Genomic DNA, 23716 nt, shown 5'->3' on the forward strand with positions numbered 1-23716 from the left:
CATGGATGTCCTGTATATATAGAAACCTGGTGAAAGCACAGGGCATGCTGTCATGGAGCCTCCCATTTCTCCCCACTCCAGTTCAAGGCAGCTTTCAGGAGATGGAGAGGAAAAAGCTTAATCATAAGAAGAACTGGGTAGACCTGAGTTCTCTTTCGGATTCTACCAGTACTATATGGCCTTGCTTAATCATTCAACAAATTCGAGTCTGCTTGTCTGCTTGTATGCCTTTTAGGGTTGTTGTAAGGACTGGAGATTTTTGTGTGTAAAACACTAGGACAGTGCCTGGTCCATAGCAGGCCACTGTTACTAGTAAACCTTTTTTAAGATGAATTTGCCTTATTACTGTTACATAATACTTAGGAATTGTTGGTTATATAGCACTCTTGTTAGTTTGTAACTTATTTTTTAGTGAAAACATTTTCTGAAGGAGCCTTTTTATACCAGAATAAGACCTAATGAAAAGACCTGCTACGAAGCCAAGTGTCCTCAAAGGTCAGGCTAACTAAAATGACTCATTCGGCATTTATTCTTGCAGTTGACTGCCACTTCATTGTGTAAGATTTCATGTAAGTGAAAAAATGTTTTCAGACTAATGTCATAAATACCTCGCTAAGATGTTTTATTTTCAGCAAGTGTGAGGGTACAAATCGTCTGAGGTCAACAAAGCATCCTCTGCTCTTGAAATTTTTTGTTACTATCATAAGGGCAAGTTAGCTTAATTCAGTATTAGGAGCCAACGGAAAATAGTTCCCCAGACTACATTTAAAATAGCATTTAGAGACTACAACAAGAAATACTTGGCAAGGCAGTTCTTGAGGGAAAATTATCCTTTGTGGGAAAACTTAAGAAGGAAGTGGGTTTTTTTAAAATGAAACAGTCATGTTCCTTACTCAGCTACCAACTGTAGTTTTATTTCAAGCCATTTTTCCAGTTTGGGGTTGAACACCTGCCTCACACTCAGGCAAACCTTGTGGTGTCCCCAGCTGCCCCCTCCTCCATATGAAGCCCTGCAGTGGTAACAAGGAGCGGGTGACTGATATTTGGAAACAATGAGAAATCACTTCCAGTCACTAATGGGTCACAGAGCTTTGTATCCTGAGCTAGTGGCAAAACTCGTCCAGAAAACTTAGTAAGTGTTTTTCAGACACGTGTGAAGGCTAGGAATTGTGGGACCCTCCCTGAACAGTCTGCCACATTTCTACTTAAGGGAAAAGCAAAGCATCTGACCATGGCTATCCCTGAGGCTGAGGCACACATGAACAATGCCTAGGTCTCCTTTGTAGGAGCCTGAGGGTGCCTAACCTAGAATCAAGCCCGTGGCTGTTTGCTGTGGTTAGCAGCTACAAGTAGTGCACATGTGATATGCCACTGTTCTCCACAGAATTTCATCTCTAAACTCCTAGAGCATTTTCTAAATCCAATAAATTACAGCGTTCCAGGTACCAGTGGTCATGTAGCCCTTTATCCACAGATGCAACTGGAAAATGACTCGTCCAGGGTCACAAGGGAATGGCAGAACACGAGCTGGAACCTGGGTCTTTAAGCGTGGGCTAGTGCTCTTCCCACAGCACAATGTTAACATCCAAAGGCCACTCCACACATCAAAATGGTCTTCACAAATGTCAATCTCGCTAGAAACCAGGATTTTGTATTGTGGCTAAAGTTCCATATCCTGGTGGACAGAATGGTAGCGTGAATGTAAACCAAAGGCCCTGACTGTCTGGACCTAGGAACTTCAGGGCTCACACTAAAAAGTTAAGCTTAGGGCTCACACTAAAATGTTAAGCTTTTAGGGGAAGGTAAGATGGGAATGTGTGTACAGACAATAGCCTCCAAATGCATCTAATTTCTTTTCTAAGCAGTCGTATTCTTCATTTCCACAAGAGGGCAGCAGCCCCTGAATGGTGTGGCAGTGGCTAAACACTGAGTTCTAGAAACAGACACTTCCGGATCAGTGACTGGCAGTCAACAGTTCACTGAATCAAATAGTGCTTTTTTTGGGGCTGCATGTTAGCCTGGGGACTGTAAGGGAACATGCTCTGATAAAAATAAACTGAAATCGGTGTAAGGAGCCCTGTACTGTGGAATTGGGAGGTCAGGGTAGAGAGATGGCAAGGATGACCTGGTCCAGCCCTTTCCTGATAACTGAAGGGCTTTCTGAGCATCTGAAGCAGTGAGATCCAGCTTCTGGTGAAGGTGGGACGGTGTCAGGAGGCAGTCTACTCACAGATGGGCATCTCTGGTCGTTGGAATAATCTTCCTAAACCAAGAAACTTGCCTCCCTCTAACTTCACGGAGGGGTATCCTTGGGCTGTCCCCTACGGCTCTCCCAGGTGTTTACCCTCTACCATTCTGAAGATAGTTGGCCACTTCTAAGTCTTCAGTCTAAATATTTCTAGTTCGCTTAACCATCCCTCCCTTTATGAGTTAGGGAGTTACTGATCTCTCTGGTAACTGAACAGGTTTAGAAGTCAGATCTAGCCTCCTCCCATAGTACTTTTGTTATTGGGTCTGTGTTGTCCATAGAAAATCTTCTCCAAAATCTAGAGGCTCAGCTCATGGAAACCAAGGCCTCTCCCAAGCGGGAAGCTGGAGCTGGAAGCGAGCACGGACCATGGGCCTTGAGACCAACTCACAGAGGCTGGGACTCTGATTCAAGCTTAGGTTGCTGGAAACCTCAATATACTCTGACGTAAGACATTCTATTCTCTGGTTCTACTATACTTTTCCCCAGGATCTACTATTCAGTCGCACTCAAGTGTGGCCCTAGCACCAAGGAAGCTTCATTAGTGATTTACCTACTAGATGTTCATTGTTCAGATAAAACTTGGAAAGTGCAGGTAAGCATGAAGAAGAGAGTTCCATAATCCTATGACTTTGAGGAAATTTAACACTTTATCATATAGAACCTTTCAACAATCATGACTTTACCACCTGTGGCTTTGCCCTTCTGTCTTCTTAAGCCAAAGCCCACGGCAATTCTGGCTGCTTTCTCCTGAGGACCACATATATATAAGATTATGGGAATCATGTCAAGAAGAGATGTGTTTAAGGTGTAAACTTTCAGTACATGAGATTACAAAACAGCCGTGTGGTTTAATCTGAGGGCTCCGTTGAAAAACAAAAATAATTTCCAAATAACAAAGTTCTATTGAATTCCTTAGATTACATGTGCCATGAGGGGAATTGTGGTCCTTTAGCAGTACTTCTCAAAAGCCCCTTTCTTCTTTTTTTTTTTGAGGTGTCTCACTTTGTCGCCCAGGCTGGAGTACAGTGGTGCGATCTTGACTGACTGCAACCTGCAACCTCTGCCTCCGGACTCAAGCGATTCTCTTGCCTTAGCCTCCTGAGTAGCTGGGATTACAGGTGCGTGCTACCACGCCTGGCTAATTTTTGTATTTTTAGTGAGACGAGGTTTCACCATGTTGGCCAGGCTGGTCTCGAACTCCTGACCTCAAGTGATCCACCTGCCTCGGCCTCCCAAAGTGCTGGGATTACAGGCGCGAGCCACTGCACACAGGCAAAAGCCCCTTGCTTCTCATGGGTCTGCTGTTGTTTCCTTCAGCCACTTTGGTTTTCAGGGAGGGTTCAGGAAACCATCCTCCACTGTGCTTCTTTCTGGCCTTTGCTACCCCTGTTTCCCATCAGGAGACCCCAGGAACTGAAGTGGCAAGGGTGAATCCTGTGAGACGATGAGGAATGAGACCAGGCTGAAGTGTGAGATGCAGTAGCCCTCCTCCACCTCCACCAGAAGGCAGGGGTGGAATAAGAGCTGAAAGGTTTGTGTGCACATTTCTGGGTTATCCAGAGAGGGAGGGAGAGAGAGAAAGAGAGAGATGGGGCCTAGGTGGTTTACTTCTAAGTGCTTCAACAACCTGTGAAAATACCAGGGAGTTATCCATGCGTTTTGCTAAGGATTCTGAAAGATCGACATGAGTGTGGAAGATATATTTTAAGCCAATAAGGGCTGGCATGAAGAAATGTAATAACAGATTAAGTCTGCATACCCTGATTACAGAAGAACCCGCCTTAATAGATGATGACCGAAGCACAGAATGTGCGCTGAACCATTGAAGGTGATGCAGAGAAGAGTTACGTGTGTGTGCGGGCGTGTGTGTGTGAGTGGGTGTGTATTTAACAGCTTTACTGCAATATAATTCACATACCATCTAATTCACCCACTGAAAGTGCCATTCAGTGATTTTTAGTATAGTCACAGAGTGTGCAACCATCACAATCAATGTTACAACATTTTCATATTCTCTCCCCACCCCCAAAAGACTGTACCCATTAGAAGCCACTCTCCATTTCTCCCCAACCCTACCAGTCCCGGGCGGCTACTGATCTTTCTCTGTCCATGGATTTGCCTGTTCTGGATTTTCTTTTTTTTTCTTTCAGACGGAGTCTCATTCTGTCGCCCAGGCTGGAGTGAGTGGCGTGATCTCAGCTCACTGCAACCTCCATCTCCCAGGTTCAAGTGATTCTCATGCCTCAGCCTCTCGAGTAGCTGGAATGATAGGCGCGCACCGCCATGCCTGGCGAATTTTTGTGTTTTTAGTAGAGACGGGGTTTCACCATGTTGGCCAGGCTGGTCTTGAATTCCTGACCTCAAGTGATCCACTCTTCTCGACCTCCCAAAGTGTTGGGATTATAGGCGTGAGCCACCGCGCCCGGCCTGTTCTGGATATTTCTTATAAATGGAATCATACAGTGCTTCTTTCAGTTAGCATAATGTTTCCCAGGTTCATCCAGGTCATAACACATAATCAGGCTTCATTTCTTTTTATTACCAAATAATATTATATGAATATACTACTTTGTGTGTATCCGTTCATTGGTGGATGGACATTTGAGTTGTATATGCCTTTGGGCCATTGGTGCTGCTATCAACATTCATGTACAAGTTTTTGTGTGGGTGTATGTTTCATTCCTCTTGAGTATATCCCTAGGAGTGGAATGGCTGGGTCATATGATAACTCCGTGTTTAACCTTCTGAAGAACTACCAAACGACTTACCAAAGTGGCTCCCCTGTTTTCTATTTTCACTGGCAGTGTGCAGGAGTGGGGTTTTTTATAATGCCCAATAATCGGATTTATTCAGGAAGCAAGTAGCTTCCAGCTTATTTACTGAGCTTTTAAAGATATACTTAATGTCGTTTCTTAAGAAAAACCAGGTCTTTATTTACTATGAGACTCCAAGTGCTTTAATATAGTTGAAACTAAAGAAACATAAATTTTTCATTCTGCCTCTTAATTGCATGGGAAACTGCACTTATTAAGCATTCAGTTTAATGGCTATATAACACTTTATCATAAATATACCCATATTGTCTCTGTTGTTTAACATTTAGCATATTTTCAACTTTTGCTTACACTGTGATGAATTTGTTGGTACATAAATATTCGTCCGTGTTCTGGGATATTTAAGAGACTTCCAAAAGTATAGGACAAAGAATATGAACACTACCAAAGCTCATTACTTATATTGGCTCCACTGCTTTAAAAAAGATTTATGACAGCCTTTGGTCTCACCGTGATTTCATTGCACCCTCTCTAGCACTGGGTGTTCACTCTTGTTAAAACCCTAAAACCAGAAACACCTTAATTTTAAGAAAATTTTCTATTAGAGTAACATACATAGAAAACTGCACAGATCATTAATGTGATAGCTTGATACATTTCCACAAAATAAGCACACCTGTGTAACAAGACCCAAGTTACTAGACAGGACATTTCCAGCCTCTCAGAGGTCCCCATCCTGTCCCCTTTCAGTGACTAACCATCTCCCCTTTCTCTCCAGAAACCACCATCCTGACTTGTAATAGGAAAAAAAAAAAAAACAAAAACAAAAACAAAAACAAAAAACCTTGCAAATTTAATGCATAAAAAAGTATACTGTATTAAAGTAAACCAGGTTGTCATAGAATTCCAACATTTTTAAGCCATCTGTATTTCTTGTGGAAAGCCATGTACTTTGCAAAGATAGCTTTCTTCATTTTAAGGTCCCCAAATGGGTGGAGGACAGGGAGCCCACATGATTTCTACAATCCAGGAAATCTGACTCTGGCCTGTGGCCAGTGTGCCCTGGCGGTGCCCAGGATCCCTCTTGGGCAGCACCTGGGACTTCTTTCTTGCCATCTTGTCTAGGTAATGATGGGCTTTTTCCTGTCCCTCCTGTGTATCACCAAATCAAACTCCAGGGGATGCCAATCCAAGACTGAAAGCCAGCAGCAGAGCTTTTACATGATGAATGGACATTTCACCCAAGGCAGGACACTGCTAAACTCACCACTCCTGATCACTTTTTCTAGAGGTGGTGAGTTCCCTTTCTAGAACAGGATAGAATAAACACCTTAGGGGGCCATTGCTGTTTCCCCTACAGACCTGTACAGAAGCCTGGAATGGGAAGCTCTGGCTTCTCAGCTTGAGGACAACAGGATCTTTTTCTTAGATCAGACCTGGCACTTTCCACCAGCTCTGCCTCGTGGGCTCTGTTCCTGGTCTTCCCCTTGCTTTGAAAAATACAAATACCAACATACAGGAAGTGACATTAACACAAATTCAAGCAACCGGAGCTCTCTGGGGAGGCATTTAGTACTCTGCTGCTGCCATGTAAAAAGAAGGAATAAGGAAGAGAGTTTTCCTCAAGAGCCCAGGAAAGATTCCAAGTGCATTGCTGTTGTCAGCACGAACCCCCATGCCCACCTCAGCCCACTATCCTCTAATATTGAAGATAGGGCAGGGAGAACATTACTGCCCGCTACCTGAGGTTCAGGGAGGCCAAGTAACTGACCTAGATTTAGTGGAAGAACTGGGATTGGAAGTCAGGAATGCCGAAATCTAGTGGAGATTCCTTCTGTCACTCTGTGTTCCTGCTGTGCAGAAAGGTCCTCAGATTGTGGTAGCCTAACATGGAAAATCATGGGCTTTGGAGAACAGCAGATCCGAGACGAAATCTATGTTCTACCATTACGTTATGAGAATTTAGACAAGTTGTTTACTATCTCTGACCCTATTTATCATATAAATGGGGACAATAAACTGTTAAAGATTAAGAGAAAACACTATAAAATATCTACCAGAGTATCTGGGTTTGAATCCTGGCTTTGCCTTTTTCTAATTGATTGCGTGACAAACGGCAGAAATGTCATACAGTAGAAATGAGAGATGAGAGGTCCTCTGGGTAAGTGGGGAACTGTTTGGTCTCATCGCCTCCATTTCTACATCTCTAATAATATCCCTAAAAAAAAAAAAAAAAAAAAAAAAAAAGCCTAGGGGCCAGGTGCAGTGGCTCACACCTATAATCCTAGCGCTCTGGGAGGCCAAGGCAGGAGAATGACTTGAGACCAGAAGTTTGAGACCAGCCTGGGCAACATAACAAGACCCTGTCTCTACAAAAATAAAGATGAAAATTAGCCAAGCCTGGTGGCTTGTATCTGTGGTTCTAGCTACTCAGAAGGCTGAGGCAGGAGGATCTTTAGAGCCTAGGAGGTCAAGGTGGCAGTGAGCTATGATCATGCCGCTGCACTCTAGCGCTTGCAACAGAACCAGACCCTGTCTCTAAAAGAAAAGGAAAAACAAGTCTTATATTTTTATGATAAAATGAGTTCACAGCTTTGAGAGATTCAAGGCCCATGCCTCAATGACTATGTCATTTAGCCTTAGTTTCCTTATCTGTAAAGCAATCTGAGCAGGGATTATCTCTGTATCACCGGGTGATTGTAGACATCCAAAGTAGGTGCTCACTTCAGCAGCACATACATTAAAATTAGAATGATACAGAGAAGATTAGCGTGGCTCCTGCACAAGGATGACATGTTTAAAAAAATATTTTTTTAAAGGAGAAAGAAAAAAAATCAAAAGTAGATGCAAACCATTTTATGATCTCATGATCTCAAAACAAAGGGAAAAGAGTAAGATTCCATGTCTCCTAGAAGAATTAGTGATCTTAAGTTGCCTTGAGTGTCCAGAGGAGGCTAATGTTTGTGTCTCTCATGTGGCTGATGAGAGACGTTCTATTAATGATGGTACTGAAGCCAGATGTTAAGTAACTTGCCCAATTTCACATAGGTAGTGTGTGACCAGCCTGGCTTTAACTCATAGCTTGTTCTCCAAAGACTGTGGTTTTTTGTTTGTTTTGTCTTTGTATTGTAGGGTAAGAAGGTTATGACCAGGCCCTTAAGTGTTATCAGAGAAATAAAGTCAATGGCTATAAATGTGGGTATGCAAAATTTCTTAGTAGGATGGCTAACCTTAGGGCTACCAGAATTGTATTCCTAAGTAAAACTATTTCAGGAAAGACAGGCTTGGGACTGGCACCCTTTTCATAAGAGCAAAATAAAATACCAAACTCTTCTGACCTAGTAGTATCTTCTCTTCATGTCCACCACCACGACTCCTAACCATATTAAAAGAGAGGCCCCCACAGAGCTGCCCTGAGGGTGGTCAGCATGGCAGCTGGAAGGTCTGATGCACCCACTAACCCAGAGGACCTCTCATTTCTGTTATATGACACCCAGCAACGAGCAGGTCTCAGAGGACGGGGATGGGTAGTTACTAGAGATGGTTAGTTACAGCCTGAGGACAAGACAAGATCCTGTGGCTCCTGAGGGACCCAGGAAGGCACCAGGAGCAAGTGTCAGCTTCAGAAGCCTTTCGTCTGCAGCTCCAGAAGCCTTTCCCCTGCAGGTCCCTGAGTCTTGGTGGCACAGCCCTGTCCCATCAGGGAGCGAGTGCCCTTCCCCCGAGGAGAAGCTCCAGGGAAAGCAGCCCTGGGCATCACCCCCAGGCAGCAGCTGCTCATGCCCGAGAGAGGGAGCCCACCTTCCCCAGCTGTGGCTGCTCCCTTAGACCCCGAGGCCCAGCCACCACTGCTCAGTTTGGTCACTGACAATGCCTACAGATTGTGTCACCAGTTATTCCAGAGCAAGAATTACCTCTCAGCTCAGTGCCCGAAAAAACGAGAGAGGGCTTGAATCCTAATCCATAGATAGGTGATTGACCACATCATGGCATCTCCAGGAAGTTCTAATTTTTTAATAGATTTCTAGAAAGGACCAGATGTGTCCTTCTCAAGCTGTTCTCTCTTCTTCTCTTCCTCTTTCTCCTCCTCCCACTTCCTTTCCCCAAATCCAAACACTCAGGTGCTCAGAATGACGGAGACAGCTGTGCTGTAGCCCTTTGGGTTGGCTGGGGCAGCCTGGGTTTCTTTTGCTAGTTGGAGGACAAGGTGTGGAAGGCATATTGTAATCAAGTAGCAGCAACAGCTTCTACTCTAGAGATTTTTAGGCCCAGAAAGGACTGACTCTTCCCTCCCCTTTTTTTCTTTTGTTGAGACAGTCTCACTCTGTCGCCCAGGCCCAGTCTGGAGTGCAATGGCGCTATCGGCTCACTGCAGCTTCTGCCTCCCAGGTTCAAGCAATTCTCCTGCCTGAGCCTCCTGAGTAGCTGGGATTAACAGGTGTGAGCCATTACACCTGGCTAATTTTTATATTTTTAGTAGAGACGGGGTTCCACCATGTTAGCCAGGCTGGTTTCAAACCCTTGACCTCAAGTGATCTGCCCACCTCGGCCTCCCAAAGTGCTGGGATTACAGGTATGAGCCACCGCGCCCGGCCTGACTCTTTTCTGAAGCCTGCCCTGGGACTGACCTGGCCCTGAACAGAAAGAAGATGCCCAGCAGCAGCACCATCATGGACCCCAGCGTAAAGCCCTCATAAGTTTCAGGTCTGTGTCAGTTAGTGTACGTGGGGAAACTTAGAGTAGCCATAGGTGCAGGTATCCGTGTGTCTGAAGAGGCAGCAGTACTTTTAATCCTGTTAACAGAAGTAAAATTAAAAGAAGAAAACGCACACACAAAAAACCTTGCAACTCTTGCTGCATTTCCATTACTTACCATCAGGTGTCAGTAGACCACACGGGAAGAGGGAGCTTTAAGAGCCGGGGTGCTCAAGTCCGTGTCTGGGGAGGCAGCGCCTCCTCCGTATTCCTGTGGATCTCTTAGTGGGAATCATCCTAGGCACCTCCTTTCCCCGTGCCCGCTGCCCTCGTTCCACCCCTGGTCTGGTCTGCCCTTGTATTCCCAGCAATTCTACGCTGTAAGATGCCTTCTGTGTTCTCTGCAGGGCATCCCTCCCTGACTCAGCCTAGCAATGGCCGGAATTCATGCATTTGCTGTGTGCCAGCTTGCCCTAACCATCTGATTTACTTATCAAAACAGCTCTCTGACATATGCACAACTAGTTAAGCAGATTGACACATCAGGAAGGGGCCTGGAGAGATGAAGGGCAGCTTCGTGGGATGCATACATGTGGACTTTACCTGGGCGGTTTCCCCAGAGGCAGAGCCATGAGGCAGAGGCGTGAGGCCACTCCTCTCTCCAAATCGTGCTAAATCACTGGGCTCTAAGTCGGCTCACAGGACAGCTTTTAATAGTTTCTGCTACCTCATGGCAAAGCCCAAAGGCTGACCTAATTCTTCCCAGCACAGTGCACAGGCAGAGGAGAGACAGCGATTATGCAGGAGGGCAGCCTCCTTCCTGCCCCAGAGGCCCTGGCCCCAAGCACGCCAGCGTTTTTGTCTTCTCCCAAATAAGTCATACTGGAAAGCTCTCTTGCCCTAGATTTAGGAGAGCAAATATCAGGAGGGTGCTACTTCTTTGGTCACAATCCAGCCGGGCGTGGTGGCTCATTCCTGTAATCCCAGCACTTTGGGAGGCTGAGGCAGGTGGATCACTTGAGGTCAGGAGTTTGAGACCAGCCTGGCCAACGTGGTGAAATCCCGTCTCTCTTAAAAATACAAAAATTAGCTGGACATGGTGGCGCACGCCTGTAATCCCAGCTACTTGGGAGGCTGAGGCACAAGAATTGCTTGAACCCAGGAGACAGAGGTTGCAGTGAGCCGAGGTCAGACCGCTGCACTCCAGCCTTGGTGACAGAGCGAGATTCTGTCTTCAAAACAAACAAATCCTACTCTACACTTAAGTCCAGGTTGAGTAGTGTCCCCTGCCAAAAACTATGTATTTAAATCCTAACCCCCCAGTACCCAGAATGTGACCTTATTTGGAACTAGGGTCATTGTAGATATTAGTTAAGATGAGGTCACACTGAAGTAGGGTGGGCCTCTAATCCAATATGACTGGTGTCCTTATTTAAAAGCGGCCATGGGAAGACAGACGCCCTGTGTGAAGATTGGAGTGATGCAGTTACAAGCCAAGGAATGCTGAAGGTTGCCAGCAAACCACTGGAATCTGGGAGAGCTGCAGGAAATAGATTCTCCCTCACAGCCTGCAGGAGGAACCAACCTTGCTGACACTTTGATTTTCAGACTTCCAGAACTGTGAGAGAATATATTTCAGTTGTTGAAACCACCTGGCCTGTGGTTCTTGGTTACAGTAGCCCACCCGAGCAAAGGAATATAGTTCCTATTCCAATGCCTTCTCTTCAGAGCCACGGGGCCTTCCCTGCGGCACGTCAGGACTGATGTCCCTGAGGGGCCCAGAAAGGCATAAGGAGCAGGTAGCAGCCCCAGAAGGCCTTTCCCTGTGGGCTCTAGAGTCTCAGGGGCACAGCTCTGTCCCCTCCAAGGAGAAGCTCTGGAGAAGGCAGCCCTGGGCATCACCCCCAGGTGGCAGCTTTGCATGTCCGAGCCCACCTTCCCCCACTCTGGCTGGGCCTGTAGACCCAAGGCTCCGGGTGCCAGTGCTGGGGGTTTGTTCACTGGTGGTCGAATGTCCAGAGCACTCACTCAGCGAACATTGAATTTCAGGCTGTCTTGCTCAGCCTAGGAGCTGTTTAGATTGGCCTTGTTTTATCTCAGCCGAGATAGATCTGCCCCACTAGGGCCCTAAAAGAGGCAGGTAGCCCAAGAGGTAATGTGGTCACGGCTGAGAAGGGACAGATAAAGGGGTTGGAGGGAGGAAGAAAGAAGGAAGCCATCCCTTCTTGAGCAAGGTCTGAGCATCAGGAGGCCTGGAGGGGGCTACCTGGTGTTTTTCTCTCACCTGACCTTACCCCTTTTTTGGGGGGACAGGTGCCAGGACTTAACCCTTTCTAGAGGTCTTAGCGAGGAAAGAGTACGTTGAATATTATTGACAGGTGTTTTACATACACTTTCTCATGCCCACCCTGTAACGACTGATTCCTGTTTCACAGATGAGAAAACTGAGGTTTGGGCTAGATAACCAAAGTCCGACGGCACGCTAGGTCTCACCACCAGTCTCCATAGCTGCTCCTGCTCCGTCTGGTTCCCAAACCCCAGCTTTTAGAACAGAATCCTCCTGTTTATGGTGTTGGTCTTGACTTCTCTTGTGGAGAAGCTCTGGATTTTAAGGTGGAGCCTCATGGGTGACCCTAGAGCAGCCAGCTGGGACTCTCTGTCACAGGGGAGCCTGGCGCTAAGCATCTTTATCACCAAGGTCACTGCTGATCATTATCAAAACCACCAAATGTCCCATCCTCCTCCTGCGACCTGCCCAACAGCCTGGGGCTCCTGTAAGTGAGCTGCTGTTAAACAAAGGGCTGCTCGTGCCGCCCTCCCCCCACCCAGGGCCCAGCGGGGACAGCAGGTATCTAAGCAAATGGGAGCGGAACCGCAGCTGCCACCCAGCACATTAAACACTCTGTTTTCTTAATTCCCCCTCCCTGCTAAGTGCTGATTACCGGGTCTGCCTGGGGCCTGATCCTTCCAGCCACCTGACTTCAGCCAGTGGGGCATCCAGAGAACGAGAGCAGCTGGCAGGTCGCACTTCAGGCGGGGCAGCAGATGCAAGACACTGATTATTCTGGGAGGGCTGCACCCAGGGACCGGCATTTGCACTTCAAAGGGGGACGGGCCCCTGTGCCCCACTCTTGGGACCTGGGTCTATTCTGGGGAAAATCATGTTGCTTTGAGTGAGTTACCCACCCGGGCCCCACCCCCTTCTTAACAGAGGGCGGTTTAAACAACCTCTCGGAGTTCACGAGCACTCGCTAGACACTCCCCGGGACCCTCCCCCGTCTGGCAGCTCTCCTTTTCATGGGGTTTGCCCCTGTCTGGACGGAGCAGGAGGGACTCGGGCGTTTAGCAAGTCCCAAACCTGTGCTTGCACTCTTGAATCTCAGTCCTCCCAGTGCCCCTTTTAACGGATTGAATTGTGTCCCCGCAAAAGACATGTTGATGTCCTAACTCCCAGGATTTCAGAATGTGACCTTGTTTGGAAATAGGGTCATTGCAGATGTAATTAGTTAAGAGGAAGTGACTCTTAATCCAATAGGACTGGTGTCCTTATAAGAAGAGAGACCCAGAGGGGGAAACACCGCATAAAGACACAGAGACAGGGAAGAGATAGCCATGCAGACAGAGGCGAAGATGGGAGTGATGTGAATACAAGCCAAGGAACACCTGGGGCCACCAGAAGCTGAAAGAGGCGAGGAAGAAATCTCCCCTGGAGCCTTCTGGGGGAACGGAGCCCTGGACCAAACACCTCGATCTTGAACTCTCAGCCCCTGGAACTGGGAGAGAATTAATTACTGTTGTTATAAGCCACGTGGTCTGTGTAACTCATTATGGCAGCCCTAGGAAACTGACAGACCCCTGAACTTTGTGGCAAAGCATCACAAGGATCTCGCTATGGTGTGATGCCACCCTGAAGCATGGCTGCGATAACCAGCCCCAGGGCTCGCACCCCTCACCCACTCCCCATTTCCCTCCTCCACCCCCACTCCTTGTAATTAAGCCCCGAAGTGACTAAGGAGTAACCAGTGCCCTGAGACCCCATCCCTAGATGGACAGATTGGACTGGACGCAAAGACCACCCCTTCTCTCCCCACAGGGCAGGCGTTGCTGGCTTCCCTTCCTCTCAGGGCCTCTGAGAGATAACAGGGCCCGTCACTGTGCCTGCCCTTCAGGGAGACATAAAGCAGGAGGAACCCCATCTCATGCTAACCCTGCTCCCGGCTCCCCCCACCCCCAGGGTGCTGGGGGTCTTCACGGCCTCCGTGTGCCTCACTGGGCTGTGACAGGGAAAGCCCTCAGCTCTCATGGCCACCTCCCCCATGGTCGCAAGTCTTTCGTCTCTTCTCTCTGTCGAGTACGGTAGCCTAGAAACAGCCGCTTTCTCTGTCATTTACTGCCTAGAATGGCCTCACCAGGCAGCCCAAGTCCTTTCTGGATCACCATGACCCTGTGGGTAGGAGGAGCTGGGCCCCTGGAGGTCAAGGGGTTTGCTCAAGGCCAACTGGGAGAACTGGCCTCGAACTCCTAGGAAGTCTGACTCCCCATCCAGAGCCCTTCCTGCCCTCGTACTGAGCACCTCCGGGGGCCAGTGGGTGCTGGGTTGGCTTCTGGGGCCGATGCATTGAAGGGTAAGATGGGGCCACCTGTCAGGGGTCACCTACAGCTGAGCTGGCTCTCGGGCAACCCACAGAACAACTACAAGCAGCCACCTCCGCTCTAGCCCTCTTCCCTCACCAGCCCAGACTCTGGCTGGACGCCAAGGCACATGGGAGACATTCAAGCAAGGTTCCTTCTCCCCGACAGTTTGCTTCCTGGCGGCGAGTGTCCACAAATGTCTACACAGTTGGCTGTGGGGCAGGAGGAGGTGCGTGAATGTAGCCCATGCTGCAGCTTGGCCCGGGATGTGAGGTTTGGTTTTAGTGCCATCCATGGAGGGCTTGGGGGATGGGGACTGGTGAGAGACTCTGCCACATCCATTAGGCTTTGGTTTGTGGGGCAGGGTTCAGAGGCCGGGGGCGTGGCAATGATGAGTGCAGAGAAGAGGGGAGAGAAAGGAGGGCGTGGGGGGACTCGGGGGTGACCCGAATTCCCCTCTAGGGTGAGGCTTTCACTCCCCAGCTGTTGAGAGTGCAGAGCTGCGTCCCTCTTTGAGGCTTGCCCTGGCCCAGGCACACATCCATCCCAGCTTGGGGAGGGGGCCCAGGCACTGGCTGGGTGTGGGGTTGGAGTAAGGGTGGGGACGTCAAGGCCTAGCCCTCTCATCTCACCCCGGGTGAGGAGCAGCTGAGCCCTCCGTTGTGACTGCCCCGTGGTGAACTCACCTCTCTACCCATCCTTCTGACTTCTTTTCCCCAAGGTCTTCCCCAAGGTGTAGCCAGAAAAGCTTTCCTCAGACAGGTCTGCACCCGGAAACTTCTTCCCTCAGACAGGTCTGCGCCCGGAAACTTCTTCCCTCAGACAGGTCTGCGCCCTGAGTCCTCATCCGCATCACAGGCACTTCTGGGAGGTTAGCAGGTGCCCTGGTGCCCGTGGGGGTGGGGATAAAACGAAAGAATGGAAGGAAAGCAGCACCTTCCATATGCGGACACCCTTCAGCCCCTCCCACCCACATCCACACATCCACACACACACACACACACACACCCCTACCCTCATGTATACACACACACACAAATGCATACACACATATACATATACACACACAGGTATGCACATACATATACACATACCCACACGCACACTCACACCTACCCCCATGTATACACACATACACACAAATATTCATATATACACACACAGATGCACATATGTACACATACACACACACCTACCCCCATGTATACACACACACAAATACATACACACACATATACATATATATACACACATACACACAGATATGCACATATATACACATACACCATACAGGCACACCTACCCCCATTTATACACGCACACATACACATATACCTATACAGATATACACACACATACACACAGATACGCATGTACATACATGTACATACATACACCTACCCCCATGTATACACACATATACAAATACACACATACACACATACATATATATACACACAGATATACACATACATACACATACACTCTCACACCTGTCACCCCACACACATACATACACATATACATATACATACGTACACACATACACACAGATATATACACATATACACACAGATATGCACATAATACACATACACACACTCACACCTACCCCTATGTATACACACAGATACACACAATACATACACACATACACATATACATATATACGCATACACATTCACATACATACACTCAACCCACCCCATATATGCACACAATTTACATAAACATATGCATGCATAAACATATATATACATAGACTCACACCCACACATACACACATGCATGCACTTACATACGCACAGTCACACATATACATGCAGACATACACATGCATGCACACATACACTCACCCCCATATATACACATGCACACATACATAGAGTCACACATGCACAGCTATACATATACGCATACACACGTACACATGCACATACATACACACGTACATACACAGACACAAAACCACATGCATGCACACACACAGACACCTCTGAAGCCCTAAGTTTAAAAGACATCTAGAAGCTAGAGAAAAAGAGCAGTGTGTGTGTGTGTGTGTGTGTGTGTGTGTGTGTGTGTGTGTGTACAGGAAAAGCACATTTGCTTGATACGCTTTTTCCTTTTCTGATATAGCTATACCCTTTGGGAGTCTATAAGTAGGAAAATCCTCTATCAAACTATAATATTGTAAGGCAGCAGCAGGAAATTGGGCCTGAGCGCGTACACTGCTCTTGGGCTCAGGAAGCAGGGGGAGGCAGGGGGTAACCAGATTGGGTGGCGGGAGCGGGACTTTGAGTGGGGGACTTGCCTTTGGTTTTCTGCAGCATGAGTCTTGGGTGATGCCAGCTCTCCCTGGAGCTGGCCCATTGGCACGCCTGTGTCCTCTCCCACTTTCTAAGTATAGTCTTGGAGGCCCAGCCAGATGAAGGCTGGAGCCAGAATTTCCCTGGAAAGCATTTGCTTCACAAGGGAGGGGCCTGGGAAGCTGATGAAGGAGGCAGGTGAGGTTGACAGTGGGCAGTGGCGCTCAGGCCACTCCTTTCCTCTTTCCGAGGGGTGGGCGGGTCCCAGGCAACCCCCCTGCTCCAGCATGGCAGCAATCCAGGTGAGCAGAGCAGGCCAAGCACCTCCCAGCTCAGATGGGTGTTTTTCAGGGGCCAGAAGAAACGGTGGCCTAGGAGAGCTGGGCCACTGTGATGCATAGTGTGGGAGGACAGCAAGGTGACCCTGACCACCACTGTGACTTCTGTCCACAGCTGTAGCAAGGCTGGGAGGAGGAGGCAACCCAGCAGCAGACCAAGAGCTTGTGCCTTGGCCACAGTCAGGCCTGGGGCTGCGACTATCCACTGTGCACAGGACAGTGTAGAATGCAGGGCTGCTGTGAGGGTTAAATGCAAGTGACAGGATTGAGAAGTCAGCCAGCACCCAGCCCAGTCAATTCCAGGGACTCCAGGGCACTTCCTTTCTATTTGGTATGGATAATACCCGCCACCCCCAGCTTGCTTTGCTGAGTCCCTGGAGTCTGCCTGGAAAACCAGTCAAGCAAAGGGAACCCTGGACCTTGAAACCCGCAGGCTATGTGTTCACGGCCCCCGCAACCCAAGAGGGGGCCATCTGAATGACGGGCCGTGGCAGGCAAATCGTCCTGTTATTTTTGGTGTAAGAAATTTAATTTGCTTCACCTGTCACTGATTACAACTGCTGTCATGAGCCTATTTACCTCTCAATTAGCTGTAATTGAGGCAGTGGGGGGCAAGGGGCAGAAGGAGAACGAGGTGGGGGGGCTGCATGTGTGCATGCTCGTGTGCATGTGTGTGTGTGTGTGCATGCGTATACGCTCAGGCTGGCACTATGTGGCAGAGCTGAGAGAGGGGGGAGAGGGAAAGAGGTGCCAAAGGTAGTGAATAAGGATTTTAACCAGTTCCATTTCGGCCGGGGGTTTTGGTCAGTGTCACAGTCACAGGGTGGCCCGGCCCAGCCCTTCACCACACCCCCCAGCAAATCCCTCCTTGTTCCTTTCTTTCCTCCGGCTGTGCCCTCGGTCCCAGGGGCATACCCCCATAAGGCAGCCTTCTGGTATTGAAACCTGGAGAGAAAAGGTTGCAGGGAGCTGGGGAGGTAGCTCATCAGAGTAAGATCTGTTGTTTCCACGGGGTAGAGCTTCGCCAGGCCAAGGGAGCTTGGGGCACCACTGTAACTCATCTTGGCTTGAAGCAGGGACATTTTGTTAACAAATACTAATAAGTATCATGTCACTAAATTGTGGTAGTCATAATAAACAGTAGCAATGCTTTAACTTTTATTGAGCATTATCTCATATAATTGTCAAAACAACCCTCTGAAGCCCAGAGAGTTTAAGCAATTTATTTATTTATGTATTTATTTATTTATTATTAGTATTAATTTTTGAGACAGAGTCTCGCTCTCTTGCCCAGGCTGGAGTGCAGTGGCGCGATCTCAGCTCACTGCAACCTCTGCCTCATGGGTTCAAGCGATTCTCCTGCCTCAGCCTCCTGAGTAGCTCGGTTTACAGGTGCGTGCCACCACGCCTGGCTAATTTTTGTATTTTTAGTAGAGATGGAGTTCTCAACATGTTGGTCAGGCTGTTCTCGAACTCCTGACCTCAAGTGATCCACCCACCTCAGCCTCCCAAAGTGTTGGGATTACAGGCGTGAGCCACCGCACCCAGCCTAAGTAACTTATTTATTTTTTGAGACAGGGTGTTCCTCTATTGCCAAGGCTGGAGTGCAGTGGCACCATCACAGCCCACTGCAGCCTCAAGCTCCCAGGCTCAAGTGATTCTCCCACCCCAGCCTCCTGAGTAGCTGACACTACAGGCATGCACTACCGCACTTGCCTAATTTTTGTATTTTTTGTAGAGGCGGAGTCTCCCTATATTTCCCAGGCTGGTCTCCAACTCCTGGTCTCAAGCAACCTTCCCGCCTCAGCCTCCCAAACTGCTGGGATTATAGGAGCGAGCCACCATGGCTGGTCTAAGTAACCTTATCTCAGCAGCAGAGGAGTTTGGATGCTAACGTGGCCAGCTGATTCTCCAGATGAAGGACTTAACCTCTGTACGTGCTGCCTCTTGGAAGATCTCAGGTACAACACAGAACTGGGCAGCCGAGGGGGGTCTTTTCATAAAGATTGTGATGGACAAGAGGAATCCCTCATTGCTGATGGAGCTAATGTTGATGATAGATGTGATGTTTTATGGAATGCGCTCTGGCCCCTCCCATCAGATTCAAGTTTGCAGATGTGGGTGTTGGAACCCCATGAAATGGAGAGACCTGAAAGCCAGCTAAGAGGGCTGGAGATGATTCTGACATCAGTGAAGAGCCACTCAAGCTTTTGGGCAGGGCAAGGTTATGATGTCAGCAGCACTGGAGGTGTAAACCGGACTGTTGTGTGTTAATGGATTTAATGGGCCAGAGTGGGGGCAAAGAAACTAGCAGGGTTAGTAGAGCTGCCAAGGAGACCAGGTATATCATCAACTAGCCGTGTGACCTTTAGAAAGCCCTCTTGTCTTTCTAGGTCTCCCTTTTGTATGTCTATAAAATTGAGATGGTGAGAATTAGAAGATGTCTAAGGTCTAAGATGTCTTGGACGTTTTGCAATCCTTTTGATGACCTCAAATGAGCTAATAGATGTAGACAGAAAAGAGGGTGGTGGGTAGGGCTGTGAGGAGTGGATAGAGCCTGCAGGATCTAGGATCTGATTGGACAGAGAGGATGATGGAGAGGCAGGAGTCAACAATGGCTCCAAACTGCAGTGAGAGATGGTAGGATAGAGTTACCTGGGGGAAAGTCTGGATTATACAGTACGCAGAATAAACACATCCCTCCCACCAAAACAAACAAAAAATATGTAGATAATTTAGCTGGGCATAGTGGCTCATGCCTGTAATCCTAGCACTTTGGGAGGCTGAGGCAGGAGAATTGCTAGAGGCCAGGAGTTTGAAAGCAACCTGGGCAACATAGTGAGACCTCATCTCTACAAAAACATTTTTTTAATTAGCTGGGTTTGGTGGCTAGTAGCTACTTGGGAGGCTGAGGCAGGAGGATCACCTGAGTCCAAGAGTTGGAGGCTGCAGTGAGCTATGATTGTGCCAGTGCACTCCAGCCTTGGTGACAGAGACTGTCTCTGAAATATATATATAGATAATTAAAGCTGAACATTTTTTAATTAAGTTACCTAGAAACTTTTAATTTCAGCATCTCTATAAGAATTGTGCCATTTCACAAAGTTTTGTCTTTAATTTCATATGTGAGAACAACAATGTTTAATGCTTAAGGCTTTTCAAAGGTCTTTATTGGGAGGTGGTGGGAGGGGTTTGTTTTAGATGGAGAGGAAGCTAGAGATGTCCAGCGGGTGGCAACAAGAAAAGCTGAGGTTAGGGAAGAAAAGCTGCAAGTCCCCTGGTAAGATAAGAAGGTGTCTGCTGAGGGCTGGCCATGGCGGCTCATGCCTGTAATCCCAGCACTTGAAAGGCCAAGGCGGGTGGATCACTTGAGCTCAGGAGTTTGAGACCAGCCTGGGCAACATAGCGAGACCCCGTTTCTACAAAAAAATACAAAAATTAGCTAGCCATGGTGGGGTGTGCCTATAGTCCCAGCTACTCAAGAGGCTGAGGCAGAAGAATTGCTTGAGCCCTGGAGGTGGTGGAGGCTGCAGTGAGCTGTGACCACACCACTGTGCTTCAGCCTGGGTTACAGAGTGAGACTCTGTCTTGCGTGCCTGTGTGCTCGTGCACACACACACACACACACACACACCCATATCTACTGAGACCCCCAGAGAAGAGATCTCTTTTTTTTTTTTTTTTTGAGATGGAGTCTCACTCTGTCATCCAGGCCGGAGTGCAATCTCGGCTCACTGCAACCTCCACCTCCCGGGTTCAAGCAATTCTTCTGCCTCAGCCTCCCGAATAGCTGGGACTAGAGGCGCCTGCCACCATGCCTGGCTAATATTTGTATTTTTAGTAAAGACAGGGCCAGGTTGGTCTCGAACTCCTGACCTCGTGATCTGCCCACCTTAGCCTCCCAAAGTGCTAGGATTACAGGCGTGAGCCACGGCGCCTGGCGAAGAAGAGATTTCTAAGAGAAAGAATTTGGCATGAAGGGTGGGGAATCCAAGTTAGAAAAGGACAGCATGTGCTGTCAAGATAGTGACATCAGGTGATATTTGTGGTTCTCCAACTTTCCTTTCACTGTACCAGTTTCCCCACTTCACTCACTCTGCTGCAGTTACAGCACCTCCAGTTTCTCCACAGACAGCTTATATCACCCTCTTTATTTCCTTTGTAGCACTTATTATAATGGAAAATTATTTATTTCTTTTCTTCCAAAGTGTAAACTTCATCAGGAGAAGGGACCTTGACTGCTTTGTTCACCGCTGTATTTCTGGCATCTAGAACAGGGCTGGCAAAAAGTAGGAGTCCAATAAATATTTATTGAAGAAATACATGCATGCATGCATGAAATTGTGATATTTCAGGCCTTGTGGCACCTGGGTTGGGGAGATATTTGGGGACAGCGTGACCTTCCTTAAATAACTCAGAAAACACCTGCTGCTGTGAATGCCTGGGGATGATCCCCAACTGTCTCCCTTCTCACAGGCTCAATTGTGCACTCAGTCCGTCTGGGGCTCGATAAAAATATTCTGAGACTGTGCAATGTGTGCGGTGGAGGCTGAGGATTGAGCTGCTTGTTGTCAAGGAAGAAGGAGTCTCTCTCTCCTTCTTTCCCTTTTTCTCTGTCTCTTCTCTCTCTCTCTCCTTTCCCTTTTGTTCTATTCTTTTTCCTAAAGTAATAAGCAGAGGGCTGAATGGGGTGGCTCATGCCTGTTATCCCAGCATTTTTGGCGGCTGAGGTGGGAGTATTACTTGAGGCCAGGAGTTTGAGACCAGCCTGGACAATATAGTGAGATCCTGTCTCTACAAGAAAACAAGACAAAAGATAAAACAATAAGCATGTTTGGGAGGCTCCAGGAAGGCTGTTTCCTAGGCAGGGCTCTGGAGGAAGTGGGATCAGGAAAAGCCCTCATTTCTCCACTCTTTTGCCCCCTTGCCTCACCGCTGCTCTTCCAGCTGGAATGGTCTTTCCCATGGCTCTGTGCTTTTCTTTATCTTTTTTTTTTTTTTTTTTTGAGACAGAGTCTCGCTCTGTTGCCCTGGCTGGAGTGCAGTGGTGCAATCTCAGCTCACTGCAACCTCCGCCTCCCAGATTCAAGCGATTCTCCTGTCTCTGCCTCCTGAGTAGCTGCGATTACAGGCTTGCACCACCATGCCCAGCTAATTTTTGTATTTTTAGCAGAGACAGGGTTTTGCCATGTTGGCCAGTCTGGTCTCGAACTCCTGACCTCAGATGATCTGCCCGCCTCAGCCTCCCAAAGTGCTGGGATTACAGGTGTGAGCCACCGCACCTGGCCCGCCTTGTGCTTTTCTAGGGGTGCTTTTTTTATGTCATTCTGAGCCCTTTGGATGGAGACAGGCTTGTCAAGTGGCAAGCAAAGGAGCGTGCTGATAGGCATTCTGGTGATGTATTTTTATGCCATGTAATAGATCCCCCTGACTTCAGTGGCTTAAACACATGGTCATTTACTGTGCTTAGGGATCTGAGGGTAAGGACTGTGGCAGGGCAGAGTGGGGAACAAGGCTCTGCTCCCCATGGGGTCGGCTGCGTCCTGGGTAGTCACTCAGCTGCACTCAGCTGGATACGGGACCTAGCTGAGACTCTGGGACAAGTGGCCCCTCCTACCCTACGTGGCCTTTCCAGCAAAATGGGAGGGTGGGCTTCTTCTGTGGCAGCTTAGGGCTCCCGAGAGTATAAAAGCGGAAGTGGGCCAGGCACAGGGGCTCATGCCTGTATTCCCAGCAATTTGGGAGGCCAAGGTGGGAGGATGGCTTGAGGCCAGGAGTTTGAGACCAGCCTGGGCAACATAGTGAGACCCTCCCATCTCCAGAAAAAAAATAAAAAATGAGCCAGGTATGGTGGTGCATGCTCGTGGTTCTAGCTACTTGGGAGGCTGAGGCAGGAGGATTGCTTGAGCCCATGAGGTGAAGGCCTCAGTGGGCCATGATCGCACCATTGCCCTCTCAAGCCTGAGTGACAGAGTGAGATCCTGTCTCAAATAATAGAATAGAAGTAGAAGCTGCTAGGCCTTCTAGGCTTAGGCTAAAACTGGCAGAGCATCACTCCTGCTCTATCCCATTGGTTAAAATGAGTCTCTGGGCCTACTAGAATTAAACAGGAAGGGGTGACCCAAGGGTGTGATTAGTGAGAGGGATGTTTTAGTGAGGTCACCAGCCTGGGCCAGGTCTAGGAGGAAGACAGGGAAGAGTTACCACAGGTCTGACATGACCCCTTTGTCCCAAAGCTGGGGCTTATATGTTAATCACAACTTGGCTCCTGTCCTGGCTCAGTGAGTTGAGCTTCTCTGGGGTCCCCTGCACCCTGGCCCTCCTGCCTCTCCAATCCCCGGTGCTGCTCTTTTCCCATCACAGGTGGGCAGGGAGCTGTGTGAACGCCCGCCCCGGAGACACTTTTCTGGTCTTCTCCTCTCTCCCGCTCCTCTTGTGTCCTACCCTTGCCCCAGGTCTTCTCCTGCCTGCATCTCCCCGGACCCCCGTCTACACTAACCTTCCCCACCGCAGAGGCCTTGTCATCTGCCCCTTATGTGCCCCCTATGCTGCCTTGCATTATCAATTTCCTCGTAACATGTCCCTTCTGTCTCCCACCACCTGAGCAGCAGCCCTCTGGGCCTAGGCTGTGGGCCCGGGATGGTAGGGAAGGTTGTCAAGGGGGCACCAGGTAGGCTGGAACCAAGAAGGCTGGACAGATGGCCATGATGGTGACTGCAC

At 48.5% G+C, this 23716-nt stretch overlaps 1 pseudogene, besides 4 other annotated features; it reads left to right on the forward strand.

Moving 5' to 3' along the window:
- Positions 2117-2216: an enhancer, noted in NCBI's record as "active region_27064". NCBI's record gives its function as "activates an Ori minimal core promoter by ATAC-STARR-seq in GM12878 lymphoblastoid cells {active_cell/tissue: GM12878}" and the evidence as "EXISTENCE:reporter gene assay evidence [ECO:0000049][PMID:35858748]".
- RNU6-892P (RNA, U6 small nuclear 892, pseudogene) lies at positions 7742-7840 on the forward strand (annotated as a pseudogene).
- Positions 8322-8822: an enhancer, noted in NCBI's record as "H3K4me1 hESC enhancer chr8:20087870-20088370 (GRCh37/hg19 assembly coordinates)". NCBI's record gives its function as "activates a minimal SCP1, AML or CMV promoter by ChIP-STARR-seq in primed H9 embryonic stem cells {active_cell/tissue: H9 hESC(primed)}" and the evidence as "EXISTENCE:reporter gene assay evidence [ECO:0000049][PMID:30033119]".
- Positions 12157-12666: an enhancer, noted in NCBI's record as "NANOG-H3K27ac-H3K4me1 hESC enhancer chr8:20091705-20092214 (GRCh37/hg19 assembly coordinates)". NCBI's record gives its function as "activates a minimal SCP1, AML or CMV promoter by ChIP-STARR-seq in naive H9 embryonic stem cells {active_cell/tissue: H9 hESC(naive)}" and the evidence as "EXISTENCE:reporter gene assay evidence [ECO:0000049][PMID:30033119]".
- Positions 12667-13176: an enhancer, noted in NCBI's record as "NANOG-H3K27ac-H3K4me1 hESC enhancer chr8:20092215-20092724 (GRCh37/hg19 assembly coordinates)". NCBI's record gives its function as "activates a minimal SCP1, AML or CMV promoter by ChIP-STARR-seq in naive H9 embryonic stem cells {active_cell/tissue: H9 hESC(naive)}" and the evidence as "EXISTENCE:reporter gene assay evidence [ECO:0000049][PMID:30033119]".

The sequence above is a fragment of the Homo sapiens genome, chromosome 8 (assembly GCF_000001405.40).
Source record: "Homo sapiens chromosome 8, GRCh38.p14 Primary Assembly".
Taxonomy (NCBI): domain Eukaryota; kingdom Metazoa; phylum Chordata; class Mammalia; order Primates; family Hominidae; genus Homo; species Homo sapiens.